The 25,162-nt window shown below is 42.1% G+C and overlaps 1 protein-coding gene across 1 annotated transcript, besides 1 other annotated feature; it reads right to left on the reverse strand.

Annotated features, from left to right (window-relative positions):
* Positions 1 to 17,782: 17,782 nt before the first annotated feature.
* Positions 17,783 to 25,129, reverse strand: LOC124901001 (uncharacterized). The gene is made up of 2 exons (XM_047417978.1): positions 19,225 to 25,129; positions 17,783 to 17,913 (listed from the first exon to the last, which is right to left on the reverse strand). The coding sequence occupies exon 1, from the start codon at positions 25,065 to 25,067 to the stop codon at positions 24,366 to 24,368; it is 702 nt and encodes a 233-aa protein (XP_047273934.1). The 5' UTR covers positions 25,068 to 25,129; the 3' UTR covers positions 17,783 to 17,913; positions 19,225 to 24,365.
* Positions 24,052 to 24,603: an enhancer, noted in NCBI's record as "H3K27ac-H3K4me1 hESC enhancer chr5:72415241-72415792 (GRCh37/hg19 assembly coordinates)". NCBI's record gives its function as "activates a minimal SCP1, AML or CMV promoter by ChIP-STARR-seq in primed H9 embryonic stem cells {active_cell/tissue: H9 hESC(primed)}" and the evidence as "EXISTENCE:reporter gene assay evidence [ECO:0000049][PMID:30033119]".
* Positions 25,130 to 25,162: the final 33 nt, after the last annotated feature.

Raw genomic sequence — 25,162 nt, forward strand, 5'->3', positions numbered from 1 at the left:
CAGCACATATTATGTGGGAATTTTTAAATATAAATATTTTCAAGTTCAGTAATTACTGTAGCCTTCAAACGTCCCAAAGCATGCATATTTTATGACTTAAATAAATTTTTCAGATATTTTCTACTTTGCTATAAAAGTCTTGTGAATGTCAACCTCTGTTTATTTTTTTCATGTGAATGACTGCAAAACCTCTGCATCACCTAGAATTGGCTTAGAGCAGTCAAGGAAAAATACCTAGATATCTGCTATATTATTAGTGTCTTTGAGGTTAGCTTCTGAAAAGAAACTCTGGAGAATATGTTTCCTCTAATGAGGCGTTAAAGTGCTGGTCAGCCAGTAGGACTGACTCCCACAGATAAGCTTCTGCCTCTTAAGCACCAAAGTTTGTTTTGTTTTGGAGGCAGAGTCTCACTTCGTTGCCCCGCCTAGAGTGGATCACAGCTCACTGTAACCTCAAACTCCTAGGCTCAAGCAATTCTCCCCTGCCTTAGCCTCCTGAGTAGCTGAGAATACAGGCGTGTGCCACCACACCCAGCTGTTTTTTTTAATATTTTGTAGAGATGAGGTCTCACTATATTGTCAAGGCTGGTCTTGAACTTCAGCCTCAAGAAATCCTCCACTCCGCCTCCCAAAATGCTGGGATTATAGGTGTGAGCCACTGCACCCAGCCAAGCACCAAGATATTGTGGGTGATAGGTACCATGCAGTGCCCTGTGGAGATTTTTAACTGAAAATATTTATGTCAAATTATTACGCAAGTATACTCTGCCTTCACAGCTAAGTAAGCTTTTTATAATCCTCTGTTATTTTGCAACTTTAAACCCACCACTCATTGTTATTCCTTTCAACTGCAAAAAAAAAAAAAAAAAAAAAAGCCACTTCCTTGTTTAAGAGCAAAGGTGTCATGAACACCGCTGTTTGGCTATGCCCTTGTGGCTCCAGAAATGTTAACAGTCATCTGAAAGCACAGGTCTCTCTCTAAGTCATGAGGTTTAAACACATAGCTCACTGTTACTGGGTACAGTTGAAGGGCATCTTTTAAATGTGAAATGACTACTTAGCAAAGTGGCTATTTCATGAGAAATGTGGCAGTCCTCACCCTTAGTCATCCTAGCTGTGGCTGGTAAGAGTTAGAAAATGGTCAGCTCTGAGGGGCAGGCCTGTTGTTGGGTCATTCCCAATTTGGATATGTGAACACCTTAGCTTGCCTTCTGTGGTTAGTGCTAAATGTAAAATTGGCTCTAACATGCTAAATTGTACAGACATAACTTTTGTGAATCTCCTAGGGAAGTGTTTGTAGAGGCAATGCCAGGAAGCCGCCTTGAAGATTAGCAGAGGCATAACTAGCCTTGGGCTGACCTAATGTCCACTGACTGTCTCTAAGAATTTACCTGATGAGGAACCTACCTCATATATATATGTAGAGAGAGGTAGGTAGGTTCCCCATCAGGTAAATTCCTAAGAGATATAGTCGCTGAACACTAGGTCATATATAGTAGGTCATTGGCTGGACATTTATACATTCTCTTTTACTGCAGCTATATCTATATTTACAGTGTGTGTTTTAAGTGGATACTTTTCTTAGGTATCTTTCAATTCTGAGAGAAATAAGCCTGATTGTAAAGAGTATAGGAAACTGGGGTAGTCCAAGATTGTATGAAAATAAACTCATTACAACTTTGGGGTTTGTAATGGGAAGTCAGGTTTGCTAATGATCTGTGAAGTTGTACAGTTATTTCCAAGATGCTTTTTTCCATCTTTCAGTCCTGGTTGGAGTCAAACTGCACAGTTGGCTAGGCAAGAATATAAAAAACATGAGTTGATTTTATTTTTCTGTCTCCAGACCAGTGAGATAGCAGCATCTGATAGACACGCACCCAGCCTATCAGCAAAGTATGTTCTTAGCTGAAGCCATTATATTTTCTACCTGGTCACACCTCCTAGCTGAGCCAGCAGAAGCTTATCAGGAGCCACTACATAGATCCCTAGGGGCAATGGGGAGCTGTGGACACACCCCACTGTCATCCAGAGATGATGTTTAGGTCCATGAGAAGCAAGTGCCTTGGTATCAAGAGTGTCTCTGGACCTGATTTGTCTCCAAGATAATGCAAGGGCAGAAGAATCAAATGTGAAGTCACATATACAAGCTATATTTGCAGGGAAGTGTTCACCTGAGGATCTCTACTTTGTCACTATCTTTGTTGACTTGAGAGAAGTAAAGCCCCAAAAAAGTAACTCACATAACATTTTACTTAGTGTCACAGGAGAATTCCTATATGTCCTAGAACATAGGTATGTCCTCTCCCCACATAGAACTCCTAAAAATATCTTTCCCGTGAAGCACTCCCATTACCCAAAGATGAGTAACGATCTTAAATGTCTATACAGTAATAGTTAAACAAAAAGGGGAGAGGACAAAGATTTAGAAACATGACATGGAAAAACAAATGGCAGATGAAGTATACTCACTAGAAATATGTTTCCATGGAGCACATGAAAAATTACACTAAATATAAAACAAGAAATTTAAAATTTTGATAAAGCAATTACCTCCACAAAACAAGAACACAAAGAAGACATGCAAGAACTCATGATAAAAATAGCAAGAAAATAAATAAAAAATAAGCTGGCAGAGCTAAGGGGAGAAGTTGAAAGGGTCCTCGTAGGAAATCGTTGAAGCCCTGCATGAGCAACTACAGACAAGTAGAATGAAATTATTATTTATGTCAGAAGTCAGACATGTAAATTTATTTCTAGCTTCAGCATTATGATTGCCAGGACCTGTGACGTGCTGTACTTGAATCCTTGCCTGGCTGGCCTGTGTCATCTGTATTACATTTTTGTCTGGCTTCATCAGGGCCACTAGATCTTGTTGGATGACTGCTGGCCTGGTTTCTCTTTCATCCTCAGCTTTGACATGGGACCTCCTGGTTTAAGTGAAGCAACCAGGTCACCTAAGAGCAGATCTTCCTTGTTTTGGAAGCATCTCCTGAGAAGTCCCTCTTGTCTGTGTAAACTGTAAACGCAGAAAGCCCCCTCTGCCTAGGAGAAGTTGTCATGGGAAATAGGCTGGGTTGGCTTGGCTTGATTAGGCTGCACCACCTAATCTTTTGGAATGCAGAGCTCTGAGGGCTCTGGGAAGTGGCTGAGCAAACGTGTATAAAGTCCAAAGAGATGTCTTACCCCACCCACAAAGAGAGCCCTGCTGAGTGCAGTGAGGTTCCAACTTTTCAGATGACCTCACAAATAATTTTAAAAATTTGTGTACCCTTTTGCTCATTTTAAAGTTGACATGTAAAATTTTCATCATAAATTTAAATAGAAAGGATTTATATTCATGGTATGTTGTAAATACTGGCATTTTAAACTAAAATGTGCATCACTTTTGAAGATGCTCAATGGGATAGAAATACATCAGTGATTTGACACTCACTGTTAAATGCCCATTATTTAAAATTCTGCAGCCTAAGTGTGATATTGTGCAAGTGCTACTTAGGTTAAACTGTAACCCAGGTAAGCTAGATGTTAATAAAACTACTGAGAACAAAGTATTGGGTTAAGAGAGACCTTATTTCTTTGAGCAGTCTGCAAACCAAGGAGATGCAGCCTTCAATACAAAACAAAGATGTGCTCTGCCAGAAAAAAGGAAGGGGGTGTCCTTTATAGAAAAAGTTGCTGGCTGGGTGTGGTGGCTCATGCATGTAATCCCAGCACTTTGGGAGGCTGAGGTGGGAGTATCACCTAAGCGCAGTTCAAGACCAGCCTGGCAACATGGCAAGACCCTCTCTTTATAAAATTTTTAAAAATTAGCTGAGTGTAGTGGTGCATGCCTGTAGTCCTAGCTACTTGGGAGGTTGAGGAAAGATTGCTTGAAGCTGAGGAAGTAAAGGCTGTAATAAGCTATGATCACACCACTGCATTCCAGCCTGGGTGACAGAGCAAGACTGTCTTAAAAAAAAAAACAGAGAAAAAATTTCACCCAGGTTCCCACTCCAGTCTGTTATGCAAATAATAGATACAAGCTCTCCTAGTTCTTTGTTGTTATTGTTGTTCTTTGTTTTTGAGACAGATTCTCGCTCTGTCGCCCAGGCTGGAGTACAGTGGCGCTATCTCAGCTCACTGCAACTTCCACCTCCCGGGTTCAAGCGATTCTCGTGCCTCAGCCTCCTGAGTAGCCGGGACTAGAGGAGCGTGCCACCATGCCTGGCTATTTTTTTGTATTTTTAGTAGAGATGGGGTTTTGCCGTGTTGCCCAGGCTCGTCTCGAGCTGCTGAGCTCAGGCCATCTGCCTGCCTCGGCTCCCCAAAGTGCTGGGATTACAGGTGTGAGCCAGAGCACCTGGCCTGTTTTGTTTTTTGAGACAGAGTCTTGCTCTGTCGCCCAGGCTGGAGTGCAGTGGTGTGATCTCGGCTCACCGCAACCTCTGCCTCCCAGGTTCAAGCAATTCTTGTGCCTCAGCCTCCTGAGTAGCTGGGATCATAGGTGTGCGCCACCATGCCCAGCTACTTTTTGTATTTTTAGTAGGGACCTGGGTTTTGCCATGTTGGCTAGGCTGGTCTCAAACTGCGGGCCTCAAGTGATCCACCAGCCTCGGCCTCCCAATGTGTTGAGATTACAGGCGTGAGCCACTGTGCCTGGCCTTGGATATTTCTTTTAAAGGCTTTTTAAAAGTTCTCCTAGTTCTATTCCATTGATGTTAAGATTGACTGGGCTAGTCCAAAGGTGGTCAGTTATTTCAATTGGTTGTTCACGGTTAGTTACAGATCAAACTCTTGTTATACTCTTTCCCCCTTCTCACTACTGCACTTGACTAATTAAAAAAAAAAAAAGGAAGGAAAGAAGAAAGAAAATGAGACAAAAAAAGATTTACCATAGGTCACAGTCTATTGGTTAGTTTCAGGTGCCTTCTGGCAGCATAAAGGAGAACAGATAGCTAGGAGAGTCCCTAAGTTACCAGATCATGGGGCGTTTCCAGAACGCAGAGTACACGTGTGACCTCTAGTCAGCAAATGGCCACTTGGCTTCATTTTGAATTTGGCCCAATTAGCTACTCAAGATCCATCTTGAATGATTGGCTCTTTCAGGGTTCACATAGAATATCAGTTGGTAGTCAGCTAACACCTGAAAGGCCACAGTCCAGAAGCAGCTTCCATGATACCTGAGGCTCTACTAATTGGCATAAAAATTAGAAGTATGTTTTTATTGGTGAAAATGGTGGGCTATTATCTGGCACAAGAAATATTAATAATGGGCTTTCGCTGGGGAATTAGAGGAATTCAAGATGTGGGTTGGCTAAAAGACTTTAGCAGTATCCTCTATTCTAGTATGAAGGTGGTGTGGCTTCATCTCTCACAGACTGTTGATTTGCAAAGAAGTCCTAAGGCCCGATGCACTGTGAATGTGAGAGACCCCTGGAAGGTCACTGTGTCTGACTCAAGTCAATGTCAGCAAGCTCATGGAACAAGGCAGCCCTATAAACTGCTTTGTGCCTGTTTATTAATACATGTTTAATAAAGGTCTGTATGTTTAGCGGAATTTGATTTGAGATGTTTGAGATACTCACTTTCACCTGTTAGTGAGATTATGGGGGAGTAGCTAGGTTTTGGTGACTTCAAGACATCTTTGGTAGCTACTAAAAATAACCTGAGAAGGTGTATATAATTAAGTTGGTTTAGCTTAATTCATGATGACATTAACCATGCCTGTTTTTAAAAATTAGCTTTAAAAAATAATACATTTTACATATTTTTACACATTATGCAGTTTTTGGTTTCTGTAAACTTTTATTTCCATATACTTCCTCCCCACAGAATTTTATCCCAATGTATTATTTTTTATAAAAGTGTTTCTGATTAATCATATTTCTTTGAAATAATTACATTTTGCTTTGCCAAAAAAATCTATATATCTATATGTAACCCTATACTGTAAGTTTCTAAGTATTAAAATATTTTGGGGTTGAATTATCAGTACAACTATTAGTACTAATTGATCAAATATAAAAATAAAACACACATTGTACACATATTATAATGTTGGTAATCACTAAACATAAAAGCAAACTTTTATTAAAAATTCACCTATTAATGAAATGGATGGGGGCTGTCACTGGCGATTACTTATTGCTAGAATGAGACAGAATCTATTCCTACTTTTCACTGTCATGGATGTGAGTACTGATGCTCTTTGTCCACATAAGCAAGTACATGGAAATAGAGGGAGTTTATTAAGCAAGGTTATTCCATTCTTTGAATTTTTCCAAGATTTTGCCAAAAAAATCATATAACAATGTTTTCATCAAAAATTATTTCTAGTGACCAGTCAGCTAACCACTTGGTCCTTCTTCAATTTTGGTGAAAGTCAGTACAATCATGTGTCACTTAATGACAGGGATACCTTCTGAGAAATGCATCATTATGCAATTTTGTCATTGTATGAACTCATAGAATGCATTTACACAAACCTATACGGTGGAGCCTCCTACACACCTAGACTGTATGGTAGAGTTTATTGTTCCTAAGCTACAAACCTGTACAGCATGTCAGTGTGCTGAATATTGTAGGCAATTGGAAGAAAATGGTGTTTGTGTATTGAAACATATCAAAACATAGAAGTACATTAAAAATATGGTATAAAAGAAATGATACACCTGTATAGGGCACTCACCATGAATGAAGCTTGCAGGACTGGAAGTTACTCTGTGTCAGTGAGTCAGTGGTGAGGCCATTACAATACACTACTGCAGATATTAAAACATGGTACCCTTAGGCTACACTAAATCTATAAAATAATATTCTTCTTTCTTCAGTTATAAATTAACTAGCTTACTTAACTTTTTGCTTCAGAAACTTTTAATTTTTTTAAACTTATTGACTTTCTTGTAATAACGCTTAGTTTAAAACACAAGGCCAAGCACAGTGGCTCACATCTATAATCCTAGCACTTTGGGATGCCAAAACAAGAAGATCACTTGAGCTCAGGAATTGGAGACAAGCCTTGATAACATAGTGAGACCTTGTCTTCACAAAAAAATTAAAAAATTATTAGCTGAGCATGGTGACACGCACCTGTAATTCCAACTACTCAGGAGACTGAGGTGGAAGGATCACTTGAACCTGGGAGGGAGAGGCTACAGCGAGCCAAGACACACTACTGCACTCCAACCTGGATGACAAGAGTGAGACCCTGTCTCAAATAAATAAATAAAAATAAAAACACAAAACATTGTACAGCTGCACAAAAATATTTTCTTTTGGCTGGGCACGGTGGCTCATGCCTGTAATCCCAGCACTTTGGGAGGCCTAGGCGGGCAGATCAGGAGGTCAGGAGATCCAGACCAACCTGGCCAACATGGTGAAACCCCGTCTCTACTAAAAATACAAAAATTAGCTGAGCGTGGTGGTGGACACCTGTAGTCCCAGCTACTCAGGAGGCTGAGGCAGGAGAATTGCTTGAACCCAGGAGGCAGAGCTTGCAGTGAGCCGAGACTGTGCCACTGCACTCCAGCCTGGCGGCAGAGTGAGACTCTCTCAAAAAAAAATTTTTTCTTCTTTCTTTATATCCTTACTCTATAAGCTTTTTTCTATTTAACATTTTTTTAACTTTTTAAATTTTTTTGATAAAAACTAAGACACACACACACTGGCCTAGATTACACAGGCTCAGTATCATCAATATCATTGTCTTCCACTTCCACACCCTATCCCACTGGAAGGTCCTCAGGGGCAATGATAGGCATGGAGCTGTCATCTCCTATTATAACAATGCCTTCTTCTGGAATACTTCCAGAAGGAACTGCCTAAGGCTGCCTTACAGTTAACTTTTTTTTTTTTTTTAATTCTTAAAAATAGAGACAAGGTCTTGCTTTGTTGCTCACACTGGTCTCAAACTCCAGGGCTCAAGCAATCCTTGTGCCTCAGCCTCCCAAAGTGGTGGGATTACAGGTGTGAGCCTGGTCAACCTTTTTTTTTTTTAAGCTACTTCTACTTATAAAAGTAGAGAACATTCTAAAACAATAAAAAGTATAGTATGGTAATTTTTTATTTTTATTGAGAAATAAAAATAAAATTCTAAGCCCCCCAACCAACTGAATAGATCCCCCCTTGACCAAGAGGACCCCAGAGAAACCTTAAAACTGAGTTCCTGGCCATGATGAGATGGGAGGCCGGACATGCCTTGTTACGCCCCCTCTCTCACTAAGGCTTTCTTCCCTAAAGGCTTAACAGAAACCAGTCTTTTTAAAAGGCTCCGCCACTGATGTCAACCAATGGCTTGATGGTGCCCCTCCCTTTTGCAGTTTTGACACAACTGACCAGCATTTCTGATAAGAGACCACCGACCATGAAGTGGTTCTGGCCAGTCTACAGGGGTTGGGTGCAGTGAGGGTTTTCATGCCCTCTGCATCCCCTTTTGATGTTCAGAGAGCCAAAAACTCCAACCTTGGATCATGCTAACGCCACCATTTTTTTTACACCTGCCACCCATGAAGCTCAACTGTGCATGTGCACATTTCTCTTTTCATAAATATTCATGACTCCTCCTATAGCCTGTTAAATACATATATTCAGCCACCCCACTCAGCATACATTCCTGTTCCTTTTGCCTCTCCTTTCGAAGTGCAGGTTTCTGGCTTCTGGCCAGAGGCTACACTTCCCAGCTTGTCAGAATGGCCACCTGCACGCTGCAACCTTTTAAGAGCAATAAAGGTGGGCTTTCCAAATTTATTAACCTCATCATTCTTCGGTTGACAACACAAACCAGTAACATAGTCGTTTATTATCATTACAAAGTATTATATGCATTACATAATTATATGTGCTATACTTTTACATAACTGGCAGTGCAGTAGGTTTGTTTACACCAGCATCACCACAAACATGTGAGTAATGCATTGTGCTACATATTATGTACTACATAATATGTGCTACACATTATGATGGCTATGAAGTCACCAAGCAATTGCAATCTTCTAGCTCCAGTATAATCTTATGGGACCACCATTGTATATGGGGTCTATAATTGACTGTAGTTGGGAACCAATTGACCCTGAGAAATTGCCTATAATTGGAAACCACTTGACTCTGAAAAGGACTGGTTGCTCTGGCCTTTGAGTAATGACTGACTCCAACACAGTACTCAGAATTGCTCCTTTGTTTGAGGCCCTGAGGCCTTTACTTCCAGTGAAGTGAACTAAATAGAGTCAATGGGAGAAGCAGTTTGATGCCAGGTAGTGCCTGAGGGCAGATATATTTCGGAAAGAGATCTTAGTGGAGGATATAAAAATTGGTTCCTTTGAAACTACCTGGGTCTGGTGCTCTGAGGAAGTCTTCTGTCTCCCTAGAATTCCCATACCCCAGTTTGAAGACTGCTGGTTTATTTAGCTCCCCCTTGAATCTGGCAAAAAGTTTGGGGGAGGAATTTGTGCTGCAGACTAAAGGTGGAGGCTGGGTGAGGTGGGGAGGATTAGACCAGAGGGAAAGAATTCAAGCTATACATAAAAAGGACTTATTGTGGCTCCAGAAAGACATGAACTAGGGAAGGCACCTAGGATATGATGGCCTGAACTCAGAGCCATCCAGTGAGCATCCTGCTTAGAGCCTTCTCAGCATCCTTCTCATCCAGGATAATTGGGCGCATCCAGGGAGAGGAGGGCAGGGCAGGGTCAACAACCCTACTCCTTTCTTCCCCCTTTTTTTCAGTTTTTCTTTTAATTGTGGCAAGAAATAAGGAGTTAAAATATAATCTTCTAAAATATTCTCCTCAACTCTCATAAATTTGTAGTTGAAACAGACTCCTGTAACACAAGATAGATTAGCAAGAGAAAAACAGCAAGTTAATAAATTAATTAAATAATTAATTACTTTTGAGACAGGATCTCGCTCTAGTGCCCAGACTGAAGTGCAGTGGCAAGATCACGGCTCACTGCAACCTCTGCCTCCCGGGCTCAAGCGATCCTCCCACCTCAGCCTCCCGAGTAGCTGGGACTACAAGCATGCACCACCATGCCAGGCTAATACTGCATTTTTTGTAGAGATGGAGTTTTGCTGTATTGCTCAGGCTGATCTCAAACTACTGAGCTCAATGTATCCACCCACCCCAGCCTCCCAGAGTTCTGGAATTACATGTGTGAGCCACTGTACCTGGCCAGCAAGTGTATTAACTAACGTGTATAGTGTACACCATGTGGAAGAAATCTCAGTGAAAGGTAACTCAAAGTGGTAGCTTAAAACTATGAGCATCATATCTTCAACAACAAAGAACAATAAATTTTATAGAAGTGACAGGACATAGGAAAGCAGTTTTAGATTTCCAAAGGCAAGAAACTGTAGCAAGATAAATCTGTGGGAATACACCAACAGAATAAGGCTTTTTTGTAGGTTCTTCTGGTGCTATTTCTGGGCTGATAAGTGCTATCTCCAGTAAAGTGGACTTTATATCCTATCTTTAGGCAGAAAAGCAGATGGATAGAGAGATCTTTTCTTTTGTTTGCTACTTCTTAATTGCCTTTAATTCAAAAATATTTAAGTCAAAGAAGAATATTTTGGGGTAACACATTCTGGTTTCCTTCACACATCAATACAATTTACCATCTTAACTATTTTTAAATGTACAATTCAGTGGTATTAAACACATTCATAATATTGTGCAACTGTCACCATCACCCATCTTCATAATTCTTTTCATCTTGAAAAGATGAAAACTGAAACTTTAGGTCAGGTTCATACCTGTAATCCCAGCATTTTGGGAGGCCAAGGAGGCATCGCTTGAGTCCAGGAGTTCCAGACCGGCCTAGGCAACATGGTGAAACTCCATCTCTACCAAAAAAAAAAAAAAAAAAAAAAATACAAAAATTAGCCAGTCGTGATGGTGCCTGCCTGTAGTCCCAGCTACTTGGGGGACTGAGGTGGGAAAATCACTTGAAGCTGGGGAGACTGGGGCCACAACGAGCCATGATCATGCCACTGCACTCCAGCCTGGGTGACAGAGAGTGAGACTGTCTCAAAAAAAAAAAAAAAGAAAAGAAAAAGGAAAACAAAACTGAAAGTTTATGCCCATTAATAAGCCTTCATTCTCCTCTCCCCCAAGCCCATGATAACCACCATTCTACTTTCTGTCTCTGTGAGTTGACTACTGTAAGCACCCCTCATGTAATTGGAATCAAAAAGTATCTGTCTTTTTGTGACTGGCTTATTTTACTTAGCATAGTGTCCTTGAGATTCATCTTTGTAGCATGTGTCAGAATTTCCTTCCTTTTTAAGGCTGAATAATATTCCATTGTGTGTCTATACCATATTTTGCTTATCCATTCATCTGTAAATGGGCACTTGAGTTGCTTCCATCTTTTGTTTATTGTGAATAATGCTGCCATGAACTTTGATGTACAAAGAGCTCTTTGAGACCTCGCTTTCAGTTCTTTTGGGTATATACCCAGAAGTGGAATTGCTGGATCATATAGTAATTTTATTTTTAATTTTTTGAGGAACCACCATGCCACCATAAACTCTTTTCATACCAGTTTACGTTCCCACCAACAGTGCACAAGGGTTCCAATCTCTCTACATCCTCTCTAACACTTATTTTCTGTTTTTTTCTTTTTGATAGCAGTCATGAGGTGGCATCTCATTGTAGTTTGGTTTGCATTTTTCTAATGATCAGTGATATTGAACATCTTTTCATGTGCTTAGTGGGGATATATGTATATCCTGTTTGGATAAATGTCTATAAAATTCCATTGCCCATTTTTTGAATCAGGTTGTTTGGTTTTTTTGTTTTTGAGTTTTAGGTGAGTTCTCTATATATGCTGGATATTAATTCCTTATTAGATATACGGTTTGCGAAGATTTTCTCCCATTCTGTGGGTTGCCTTTTTACTCTGTTGATAGTGTCTTTTGATGCATAAATTTTTCAAACTTTCATGAAATCCAATTTCTCTCTGTTTTTCTTTTTTGCCTGCGCCTTTGATGTCATTTCCAAAAAATCATTGCCAGTTGGGCGTGGTGGCTTATGCCTGTAGTCCCAGCACTTTGGGAGGCTGAGGCGGCAGATCACCTGAGGTCAGGAGTTAAAGACCAGTCTGGCCAACCTGGTGAAACCTCGTATCTATTTAAAATACAAACATTAGCCAGGCGTGGTGGTGCATGCCTGTAATCCCAGCTACTCTGGAGGCTTAGGCGGGAGAATCGTTGGAACCTGGGAGGCAGAGGTTGCAGTGAGCAGAGATTGAGCCACTGCACTCCAACCTGGGTAACAGAGCAAGACTCTGTCTAAAAAAAAAAAAAAAAAAAAAAAAAAATCATTGCCAAATCCAATGTCATGAAGCTTTTGCCTTATGTTTTCCTTCTAGTCTTAGGTGTTACATTTAAGTCTTTGATTAATTTTGAGTGATTTTTCTGTATGGTGTTAGGTAAGGTCCAACTTCATTATTTTGTATATGGATATTCAGTCTTCCCAAACCATTTGTTGAGAAGAATGTTCTTTCCCCATTGAATGGTCATGACACCCTTGTCAAAAATCATTTGGCCATACATGTAAGAGTTTATTTCTGGGATGTCAATTTTATTCAATTGGTCTATATGTATGTTTTTATGCCGGTACCACACTGTTTTGATTACTGCAGCTTTGTAGTAAGTTTTGAAATCAGGAAATGTGAGTCCTTCAGCTTTGGTCTTCTTTTTTAAGATTTTTGGCTATTCAGGATCTCTTGAGATCTCAAATGAATTTTAGCATCAGTTATTCTGTTTCTCTCCAAAATATCACTGGGATTTTGAGAGGAATTGCATCAAATCTGTAGGTCACTTTGGGTAGTATTGACATCTTAACAATATTAAGCCTTCCAACCCATGAACATGGGATGTGTTTCTGTTTAATTATACTTTCTTTAATTTCTTTCAGCAATATCTTGTAGTTTTTATTGTACAAGACTTTCCTTGTCTAAATTAATTTCTAATTATTTTCTTCTTTTTGGTGCTATTATAAATGGAATTGTTTTCATACTTCCCTTTTCAAATTATTCATTTTCAGTGTATAGAAATGCAAATGATTTTTGCATTGTGTTGACTTTGTATCCTACTACTTTGCTGAATTCATTTTATTCTAACAATTTGTGTGTGTGTGTAATATTTAGGATTTTCAGCATACAACACCATATTATCTGCAAACATTGAGAATTTTACTTCTTTCTTTCCAATTTGGATGTCTTCTATTATTATTATTTTTCTTGCCTAAATGCCCTGGCTAGTACTTCCAGGGCTATGTTAAACAGAAGTAGTAAAAGTAGGTATCCTTGCCTCATTCCTGATCTTAGAGGAAAAGTGTTCAGTTTTTCACCATTAAATATCATGTTTGCTGTGGGTTTTCCCACATGGCTTTCACTGTTGGTATAGTTTCCTTCCGTTCCTGGTTTATTGAGTATTTTTAATCATAAAACAGTGTTGAATTTTTGTCAAATGCTTTTTCTGCATCAATTGCGGTAACCACGTGTTTTTTCTCCTTCATTCTGTTAACATGGTGCATTACATTGGTCAATTTTCATATGTTTAACCATTCTTGCATTCCAGAAATAAATTCCACTTCATCATGGCATATGATCCTTTTAATATACTGCTGAATTTGGTTTGCTAATATTTTGTTGAGGATTTTTGCACCAATATCATAAGAAATATTGGTCAACAGTTTTCTTATTTTATTTTTTACTCTGTCCTTCTGGTCTGATAGTTTTCTTTTCTTACAGTGTCTTTGTCTGGCTTCAGTATCAGTGTAACATTAGTTTCATGGAATGAGTCAGGAAGTGTTCCTGCCTCTTCAATTCTTGGAAAAGTTTGAAAAGGATTAGTATTGTTCTTTTTTAAGTGTTTGGTAAAACTCATGGTGAAGCCATCAGGTCCAAGGCTTTTCTTTGATGAGACATTTATGACTACTGATTCAATCTCCTGACTATTTATAGGTGCATTCAAATTTTCTATTTCTTTGTGATTTCACCTTGCTGTAAGTTTTGTGTTCTAGGAACCTGTCAATTTCATTTAGGCTATCCAATTTGTTGATGTACAATTGTTCATAGTACTCTCTCAAAATCCTTTTTATTTATGTAGGATTGGTAGTAATATCCTCACTTTCATTTCTGATTTTAATAATTTGAATCTTCTTTTATTCTTAGTCCCTCTCCCTAAAGGTTTGTAAATTTTGTTGATCTTTTCAGATAACCAACTTTTGTTTCATTAATCTTTTCTATTTTTTGTATTGTCTATTTTGTTTATTTTTGCTCTGATCTTTATTATTTCCTTCTCTTTGCTAGCTTTGTTTAGGTTTTTTTTTTTTAATGTAAACATTTATAGCTATACGTTTCCCTGTGATCAGTGCATTTGCTGAGTGCCGTAAGTTTTGGTATGTTCTGTTTTTATTTTCATTCATCTGTAAGTATTTTCTAATTTTCTTTGTGATTTCTTCTTTGAAACATTGGTTGTTTAGCATCCTAAAGTTATAACATTCTAATTTGAATTTAGACAAGCTTAACCACAATTTTGTGAGTTTTCTAGTTTTACTTCTGATTCTGCTTTCTAATTTTGTCTTGTTGTAGTTACAGAAGATACTTTGTATGATATCTATCTATCTTTTTTTTTTTTTTGACCTTGTCTCTGTTGCCCTGGCTAGAGTGCAGTAGTGTGATCACAACTCACTGCAGCCTCAACCTTTTGGGCTCAAATGATCCTCCCACCACAGCCTCCAAAGTAGCTGGGACCACAGGTATGCACACCATGCCTGGCTAATTTTTTTCTTTTTTTTTGTTTGTAGAAATAAAGTCTTGCTATGTTGCCCAGCCTGGTCTCAAACTCCTGGGCTCAAGTGATCCTCCTGCCTTGGACTTCCAACATGCAGACATCTATTTTTTCAAATATATTGAGACAATTTGTGGCCTATCATATGATCTACCCTGGACCATGCCCCATGTGCACTTGAGAAGAATGTGTATGTTGTCGTTGCTGGGCAGAGTGTTCTGTTTATGTCTGTTAGATCTAGTTGGTTTATTATGTTGGTTTCTTAAGTCCTCTATTTTCTTGTGTATCTTACTTGTCTGGTTGTTCTGTCTGTTATTGAGAGTGGGATATGGATGTTTACAACTGTTATTTTACAACTTTCTATTTCTCCCTTTGATTCTGTCAGTTTTTGCTGAATATATTTTGATGATCTGTCATTAGGTTGTAAATGTTTATAGTTGTTCTAGTTTCTTAATGTGTTGAAACTTTTATTTATATTGCCCTTCTTGTCTCTTGTAACCATTTTTACAATTTAAAATCTATTTTGTCTGATATTAGTATAGTCACCTGTGTTATCTTTTGTTTACTATTTGCATGCAATATCTTTTTCCATCGTTTTACTTTTATTCTATATGTGTCTTTGGAGCTAAAGCAAGTCTCTTGTAGACAGCATGTAGTTGGATCATGGGTTTTGTTGCTGTTATTGTTGTTGTTTTTCAGAAAAAAATATTTCCTGCCAATCATCTCTGTCTTTTCATTGGAGAGTTTCATCCATTTACATTTAAAGTTATTACTAATAAGAAGGGACGTACTTCTGTCATTCTGCCATTTTTTTATATGACTTACAGCTTTTTTTGTCCCTTATTTCCTGCATTGCTCTTTTGTGTTTAATTGATTTTTTTTTTAAAAACATAGTGCTGTTTAAATTCTTTTCTCATTTCCTTTTGTGTATATTCTATACCTATCTCTTTGCAGTTAAATGTAAAGGGGATTACATGTAACATCCTAAAGTTATAACACTAATTTGAATTTAGAAAAGCTTAACCTCAATAACACACAAAGACTCTGCTCCTTTATGGCTTTATCTCCACCCCTTTCAGTTGTTGTTGTCACAGACTGCATATTCACACATTGTGTGACAAAAGCATAAACTAATAAATCTTTTAAATGCATTGATCTCTTCAATTATGTAGTAAATAAAATGTGGATTTACAAACCAAAGTTACAATAATACTAGCTTTTAAACAAATATTTTTTTAATATATTAATCTCTTAAATCATGCAGAATACAAAAAGTGAAGGTACGAACTACCATTACAACAGTTCTAGCTTTTCTCTCTTCTCCTTTTAAGACTCCCACAATGTGTATGGGCTGGAGGTGAAGGATGGGTGATATGGTTACTACTCTGCTAAGAGCTAAAACTGATTGACAGTAACTGCAATTTACTGCCCAACCTTCCACTGGAAGTTTTTAAGCCTGCAATAGATTTCAGAGTTATAAAACAGTTACATCAAACAGATTCTGCCAGCAAATCATTGTCTAAGTGGGGAGATAGATTCCTGGTATTTTCTACTCCACCATCTTGCCAGATTTACCCCCTATTTCTTTTTAAGTTCAACAAATTAGTATTGCAGAAGTGAGCAAGCTATAGCCCAAGGGCCAAATCTGGCTGCCTCCTGTTTTTGTAAGACCAGTGAACTAAGAATGACTTTATTTTGTTTATTTCTAACTACACCTACTTGAATAGGAGAACTTATACTTTCAATGGCTGAAAAAAATTAAAAGAAGAATATTTTGTGACGTGAAAATTCTATGAAATTCAAATATTGGTGTTCATAAGTAAAGTTGTATTGAATCATAGCCATGCTCATTTGTTTATATTGTCTATGTTTATGGCTGCTTTCTAGCTGTGATGGTAGAGGTGAGTAGTTGCAACAGAGACCAAATAACTCAAATGACCTATAGGGCCTAAAATATTTGCTATCTAGCCTATTACAGAATAAGTTCACCAATCCTTATTTTAAGCCATGCTGATGGATGGAGATAATTCAGACTTAGGTCTCTAGCAAGAAATATCTAGGGCCCTGAAGGAAGAACTCATCAGAAGTGAAGTGAGCTTAGAACACTGACCTGGGTCCAATATCAGGGAAAAGTCACCATGAAGGGAGATTCAGCTTTGGCACAGCTTTGGCACAGACTTGAAGCTCCCTGACCTGGGCTGGAAGCAAGTATGCTTCAGGTATCAAGCACTGAAGAGCAAACTAAAGAGCTATAACACTGGGACTCCAAGCCAGGGGCACTATAGGGGGAGTGTGCTTGGCCAAGGATTTACCCTTGCTTTACCCTTGCTTGTTGTCTTCCCTGAAGAACCATGCTGGCCAGGCAAGGATCAGAACCATCAAGGGTGTCTGTCACCTGAGCAGGGAAAAAGGCTCACTGGACTTTGGGACTACCTGCTGAAAACAGTTATGCAGAAAGTGAGCCTAGGAACAAAATGGGGTTGGGTAGCCAGGCATTGTTGAGGGCCCACTTCAGTTTAGTGAACATTGATTTACACAGATAGCAGTCAATTTTAGAGTTGGGTCGTTCACCAGTAGCACTTAGCTACTGAGGACAGGCTCAGAAAAGTAGGTAATGGCAACATTACCAGATGGCATGATGCAAAGACACAGGCTTTGAAATTTAAGTCTATCAGAGAGACTGCTACTGAATTGATAGAGCATAGAATCTAAACTACACAAGAAAGAAGTAAAGAAAAAATAGTTAATTGGAACAAGTGAAGGGTCTAGTTAGAGTGAAGGACAGTTGTAGCAGGAATGGCTGGAAAAGCAAGATGGAAAGAGATGCTCCAATTCCTGTTTTTGCAGAAGGGGCTGTTTCAGGTAGTCCCTGGTCCAGGGTGAGCTGGTAGGAGGTGTTGGCTGAGGTGGTTGGAAGAGGAAAGATTTGTTGATGAGAAGGCCTGAATTCTGAATTGGTATTGTCTTAGTGTGTTTGTGTTACTATAAAGGAATACCCGAGGCTGGGTAATTTATAAAGAAAAGAGGTTTATTTGGCTCACAGTTCTGCAGACTGTACAAGAAGCATGGCACCAGCATCTGCCTCTGGCTTCTGGTGAGGGCTTCAGGCTGTTTCCAATCAAGACAGAAGGCGAAGGAAACCTGGTATGTACAGATCACCATGTGGCCTCCAGGCTTTTTGTTAACAACCAGCTTTCTTGGAAACTAATAGAGCTAGAACTATTAATCTTCCCCGGGGAGCATTAATCTAATCATGAAGGATCCACCCTCACGACCCAAACACTTCCCATTAGGCCCCACCTCCAACACCGGGGATCAAATTTCAACATGAGATTTGAGGGGATAAAAACACCCAAACTCTAGCACTCAACCACATGGAGGTTGGAAGCATGTAGGATTAAGGGAGGATTTGAAGTGGTAGAGACGGAAGCCAATGATGAGAGTGACAGGAAGGGGAGAGGGTGACACATAGTATAAGCAGCAAAGGGTGGGGAAGAAGTGGTCTGAAAGGAATAGTAAACAACTATGGCTGTGGTAAGTGTCCTGAATGAAAAACACCAGAACGCCAGGTATGAAAATAACAAGGGGGAACGGGGAGCCAGGGCCCATCTTCACTGGGGAAATGGCATTTAACTGGAACTGCAAAGAATGAATGGGTGCTGTGGCAGAGCACACAGACACCCGCTGGAGAGGAGAGAGAACTGGCGCTTCCCATCCGGCAATGCCCCTGGCTGGCAAGGTGAGGGAGCAAGTGCCCAGCCTCCCTGTGCACCTGTCCAGTGGGGCAGCAGCAGTACTCACTTCACAGGGTTCTTATGAAACACAAAGGAGTGAATACATTTGTAAACCCCTAAAAACACATAGTAAGCTTTATGTAGGGGTTAGCTATTATATTTTCATTTAAGAAAAAATATTTCCCCTGGAATCACATCCAACCAAAATTACAGCAAGTCTTGTTTTCTGTACTCATTCAATTCTTTAAACACCCCATGAGGTAAGTTAAAAAGAAAAAACCCTAAAAAGTAGTTTTCTCTTTATCTTCTCTCAATCAGCACCGCCTCAAATCCTAGCTTTACCTGCATTCTGTGGCTTCCACAAAGGGCCTTTTATGAAAATCTGGGGCATTCAGGAGGTGGCTTACTGCCAAACTGCCTTTTAATTTATCAAAGACTCTCGGCTCTCAGGTGTTTAGATAAGTATTGATTAATTTTTTAGGCCAGAAGTTTTTGTGGGAGAAGTCAAGTGTTCGTGTGTTACTGTGAGGAGATGACCTGCCACACCCAGGAAGACCCTTGCTCCCTGGATCCCCAGCCAGGTGGCATGTTCCCCATGTACAGCACCCTGGGACAGTCAGATGGCCCCTTTCTGGATTTCTGGGTCAGACCATTTTGGGAGTCATCTCCAAGTGTCTCAGACAAGTTTCCATGCCTGATCCAAAACTAGGTAAGTTACCTGTATGTATGACATCAGAAGGTTCCCACACCACCATGCACATCACAGCAAGCTGTTTGAAGGAGGTAGGATATACAATAAGTCTTTTCTTTCTTTTTCTTCTTTTGTTTTTATCATTTATTTGCACATTTGTTTCACTTTGCTATATTTTTGGAGCACTGTGAGCTGATCTGAATCCTTGGAATCATCAGTGGCAACCAGGTAGTGGAGGGGCCAGAACCGAGGATATGGAGATTGGGCCAAGACATGCAGATGGATCCAGGAGATGTGAGGCAGGTAGAATCCTGAGCCCTGGGCCACTGACAGGCTAAGGAATCACCCTTGGCAGGATACCACATGCCCCTCTAAAGATACCAGCAGCAGCAAGTCCCATTTCAGAAGCTTTGGAGGCTGCAGACCTTGGGAAAACAAAGGTAGATCAACAGGGCAGATAACACAAGTTGGACGGGCTGGTTTTTGAGATGATGCGATGCACACCTTTAAGAACTCCTAGAAATAACTGAGAGATGCGCTATAGGGAGAAACAGCTGAGCTGGCAGGCTGGGAACTCCAACCATTGCCAACTGGGCATCAGAAATCAACAGAGCCACAGTTTGCTCTCAGTGAGCACCCTGATCGACCTCCCCTGCTATTTCTTTACAGTCTCCATGGATTCATCAGCTCAAGCTTCCTGAGCCACAGGTGGAAGATGAGATGAGTGTAGCTAGACGAGTAGTAGTTAAGGAGAAATCCATTTATTGATCACTCTCCATGTGCCAGATATTTACTCTTCAAGCAAGACATCCTTCGAGGTAGGTCTGGTTATTCTCACATTACAGATGAGAACACTAAGATACAGAAAAGATGTTTACTTGCCCCAGGTCACACAGCTGGTAAGTGACAAAGCCAGGATCTAAACTCAGTTTGATTCATCCCCTTTCTGCATGCTGGGGAGACAGTGCATTCTTTGGGATCCAGTCAGCAGTGAATGAGTGAAGAGACAGTACTTTTCCAAAGAACTCTTAATATCAACACGTTGGTCTCCTCTAGCCACAGACCAGATGCTGTGGCCACTGTTGAGGGGGGGTCTTTCTCCCTTGGCAGTGCAGAGGCCTCTTCAGAAAAGCCAAGTGTGCTCCCAGCAAATTCTTACTTTCGCTGAAACAACTGCTTGCATTCTACACCCTTGGCTAAGGCTAGCAGCACTCAGGCTGAGCTGTTATTAACTGTGCAAAATCAACAGCACCATCTCACGCCATAAAATGACTCTGCAAAAGATTAGCCTTTGCACTAGGATCAGCTAAGGGAGCCAGTCTAAACCCTTAATTCAAGCTTTCCAAATTAGTCAGCCTCTACTTGCACTCCTGATATGTCTCTGAAGCCCCTGGGTCTAAGTCCGACCTGGGGGTTAGGGAGGAGGAAAATATCCCAGGGACTTTGGTACACCCTTTTCAGGGTTATACAGCTGGATGGGGCCCAGGTTGGTTCAGAGGAGTCATTGGGAGTCCTGGAAATATGTGTTGAAACATGGACCCAAGACTGAGCGCTCAAGAATAAATTCCTATAAACCAAGCCCAGCTGGGGCTCAGAAAACATCAGAAATTGGAAGCAGGGAAATGTGTGCTTCTGGGTGCTAAGATTAATTTGGGGCAGAATTAGAAAGAGACCAAAAGAGAAAAGAGACCTAGAAGTTGGCAGACTTGATTAGCTGATTGTCTTTCTGCCATCTTATGAATTCTGAAAAATGGTGCCACTGAATTCTGCAGGTCAATCCACTTGCCCTGAGTTTCTTCTCAGGGTTGGCAGTGCCCTGGGAAGAAATACGTGGCCTGTCTTGTTGAAGTGAAAGATATGTGTTCCTTAGGGCACTGTTTTGGGAACAGAGCAGCAGAAGCCCCCTGCTCTGGGTGAAACTCATGCCTCCCAGCCGCACTAGCTGTGCTCTGCACCCCAGAAACATCTGAAAACTGCACTTGGTTGGCACCAGCCCCTCCCTTGCTTTGTGTGTTTAGAACCCTCCAAAGGACTAATTGTTACTCTTCCAGAGAGGGAGCCCAGCCTCCTCAATTTTGTAATGTCACTCACAGACCACAGGAAAGTATTCCTTCCGAATTCCTGAACTCCAAGCCTCCATATTCAATTGCCTACTCAGCTTCTCTACTCGGATGTCTAATGGACAAAATTAACATGTCCCCAAATGGACTCTGAAGCTCCTCCTCTCAAACTTGTCCCACTCTTAGGATTCCCCATCTTGCTCATGCCAGAACCATTCTTCCACTTGCTCAGATCCAAAACCTTGGAATCAAAACCCACATGTGGTTCATGGAAAATCCCATTGACTCTATCTTCAAGATATATCCAAAGTCTCATCCCTTTCATCACCTTCATACACAAGCTACAGACATAACTCCTGGGTTGTTACCACAGCCTCCTAACTGGCCTCTTCCCATCCATCCTGGCTCCTCCTTGGGCTATTCTTACTGCAACAGCCACCAATTTCTTTTTTAAAAGAAATCAGATCACATCACTGTCAAAGCTCATCACATCAGCTCAAAAACCATTCAAAGGCTTCCCACCTACTTAAAGGCCCTGCACAACCTGGTGCCCTTGGCCCTGCACATGCCTTTCCTCTCTGACCTCCTCTCCTACTCTCCCCCTTGCTCACCAACTGCAGCCACCCTGGCCTCTTGCTCTCCTTTGAATATGCTAATATGTGTGTTCCTACCTCAGGGCCTTTGCACCTGTGGTTACTTCTGCCTGAAGCACTCTTCCCTACTTCCCACAAAAAATCACGAACTATGCTTACAAATTCTTACTCTTCCCTACAAGAGGTGGCACCTAATCCCATTCCCCTTGACTTTGTGACTCAATTCTAAGGACCAGAATAAAGAGAAGTGATGGTATGGAAGTGCAGAGCCTCGTCAGAAAAGGCACCACAGCTTCCCCTTTGTTTGCTCTCCCTTGGATCACTCACGTGAGGGGAGGCTGGGTGGAGAAATCCACATAGTGAGGAACTGAGGCCTCCTGCCAATAGCCCTGTGAATGTGCCACCTTGGCAGCAGATCCTCCAGCCCCAGTCCAGCCTTCAGATGACCACAGCCCTGGCCAACTGCTAGACTGCAGCCTCTGAGAGGCTCAGCCAGAAGTACCCAGCTAAGCCACTTGCAGTTTCTGACCCTGATCAGAAACCCTGAGAATACATTTTTGCTGTTTCAAACTTCAAAGTTTTGGGGTAAGTTGTTATGCAATAATAGATCATTGATACACTTGCTTCCTCATTCCCTTCAAGTTTTTGCTGCAATCTCACCTTCTCAGAGATGCCTTCCTTAACTCCCCTATTTAAAATGGGGTGCTCCCCAGTCCCCATCTGTGATTTATTGTTCTCCCTGGCACTCAATCACTTTCTAATTCTCTGTATAACTTACATATTTTATTGCCTTTCTCCTCAATAAAATACAAGTTCCGTGTTTTATTGGTAGTTGGTAAATCTGTGCTGGCTAAATACATGAACACATGCCTCTGCTTTATGCTTCTACAGTCACTGAATTCGAGGTTTTTAATCTTGTTCTGATGCTGTTTTTCTAAGGATTCGGTCTGGCTTTTATCTTTTTCACTACCACACAGGCCAGGGAAGACCACTAGATAGTGACCAGGCCACGCAGCTTCTCTCCTAAGGCTAGGTGGGCTACAAAGATAAGTACCTCAAAGGCTGGTGGGTATGTCTTTCATACATAATCGATGATCAATTTCCAAGGAGTTTAATTTAGTCAAACAGGCTCTCATAGACACAAACAGTGAGAACAGCAGATATACCAAGTGGAGGCTAATCTGATTGTCCTTGGTGCCAGGATATTCAAGTCTGTCATGGGTGGTGAGCCTGCAGTCATGTGGCACCAGAGGGGCAGCTGTATCAACAGGCCCCTTGCAGGCCTGCACATGACATGGCCAGAGATTCAGTTTCAAATAAGGGGGAAGGGAAGAATGAGTAGGGAAAGGACAAGGAAACCCTTTTGCACAATGAAGAGTTGTTCACAGGCCTGTGTCAGAGGGGACAAATCCTATAATGAGGGCCTGAGTTCTTAGAAAGCCAGTGCCTGCTGTTGTACAATCCACTCTTGGGTATCTGCCCATTCGCTGGACATGCTTTGGTGCCCTTCCAGAAGGTGGTATACCTTGACACTTGGACCAGGAAGGATATCTCCACCCCAAACATAGATTACTGCAATGTCCTTGGGACACAGTGCCTGTATTGTTATAATAATCTAAACGTGCTTGGCATCACAAGGCCATGAGGGCGTTTTCTGGGTTCACAGCATGGTGTGTTCTCTGAGTGACAGGTGTGCTGCGGGAGAAACACTGAATGGTCAGCGCATCTGCATCTGGCTCAGGCCTTCTCTGCATGTCAACCAGCTGCAGAGGTTACTTTACCTCTGTCAGCCTGGACCTCAGTTTCCTCAACTGACAAATGACTGTTTTTCTCAGTCTCCTGTCCCCTGCTGCCTCCAACCTTTTCTGAACTGCTGGAGAGATGTAGCAAAGAACCACAAAGCAAGGGGTCGTGAGTGTTGGCATTGTTCATTTCGACAGTAATCAGGGCTGTTAGTTATGGCGGGGATTTACAGAGGTCGGGCACCCTGGCTATGAAAAAGTCCACCTTTGGCCACCCAGGCAAGTGCCCCACCAAATTCCAATGGCAAGAACTTGTCCGTTCTGCCTCCCTGGTGAACCCTAAAGCCCAGGTAACCCCCTCCCCTCTTTACCTCTCTGACTGGTTCTTTAAGTCTCTTCTCACCTCTGATGATTAGCTAAGCCTGCTTCATACTTTACCTTCAGTGAGCATGACCAGGAATCTCTTGTTGTATCAGGTAGGTAAAGTGCTTGCTTGCACATTGAAAAGTTTCATCCATTGGCCTTAACTCTAGATAGGGTTTCAGGCAAGGCAGACAGGAAGCTGAGAAGAGAAGGCAGGGCTGGGAAGTCCCCGTGGCTCAGGGCACCTCTGCGCTTGGGCAGAGAACCCTTGACTCACCTTCCACCGTGCCCTGACCCCTGGTGTGGAAACTAGCACAGTTGGATCCGTATCACGTGTCACGGGGCTGGTTACAAATAGCACAGGGATTGGCAAACTCATCCCGAAACTCCCGGTTCAAGGGCAGGGAAAGTTACCAGTTTAATTCCGGCAGATCATTAGTGGTGGAGAACCAGGAAGGGGGTTCTATCGCAAAGGAGGGCTGTGCGCAGACACGTGGGTGCGGGAGGGGCAGAGCTGGTCCGGCGCGGGGCTTGCCGCGTCTCGGCCTCAGTCTCGGAGCCAGGACCTCAGGCCTGAATGGCTGGGTGTGGAGGGCCCTTGTCTCACATTCTGTAGAGCGCACGTCGTCCCGTGACCTGGTGGCTCCATATTCGATGGGGAGCTCGCAGCGAGTCGCTTCCCTCTGTAACCCCACTCCAGGTCTCCAGAGCAGTAGGAGGGCCACAGGGCTGCTGGGTGTAGTCGCCCCGGACCTCGCGGTGGCCAAGGCCAAGGCGGCCGGGGCACGGTACCCTGTTCGGCCTGGGCCGCAACCACGAAGGAGGCGGTGGAGGCGGGGGCCGGCGCTTCCTCCGCGCCCCCCACGCCGCCGCTCTCTCGCGCCCCTATAGAACTGGGCCTCAGGCCTCGAGGGGGAGCGGGCCTCGGCGGGCGGGGCGCACAGTTCCGCCAGCCGGCGGGGGCATCTCAACTCGCCGGCCCCGCCAGGTGTGCGGGCCAGGCAGCCGTGGAAGGTGCCCATTTCTCCCAGATTCCTCGCGCGCACGGCCACGAGCGCGGAGGCTGCCAAACCCGCCAGCCCTGGGTTCCGAAGCCGCCCCTGGCTCTCCATTCCCTCGCGGGCGCGCCCCGGGCCCCCAGTGGCGGCCAGCTCCCACCGGTCGCTCCTGCACTGCCCTGCCCTGCCCTCCCCGGGCCGCCGCGCCC

Source organism: Homo sapiens, chromosome 5 (genome assembly GCF_000001405.40).
Source record: "Homo sapiens chromosome 5, GRCh38.p14 Primary Assembly".
Classification (NCBI taxonomy): domain Eukaryota; kingdom Metazoa; phylum Chordata; class Mammalia; order Primates; family Hominidae; genus Homo; species Homo sapiens.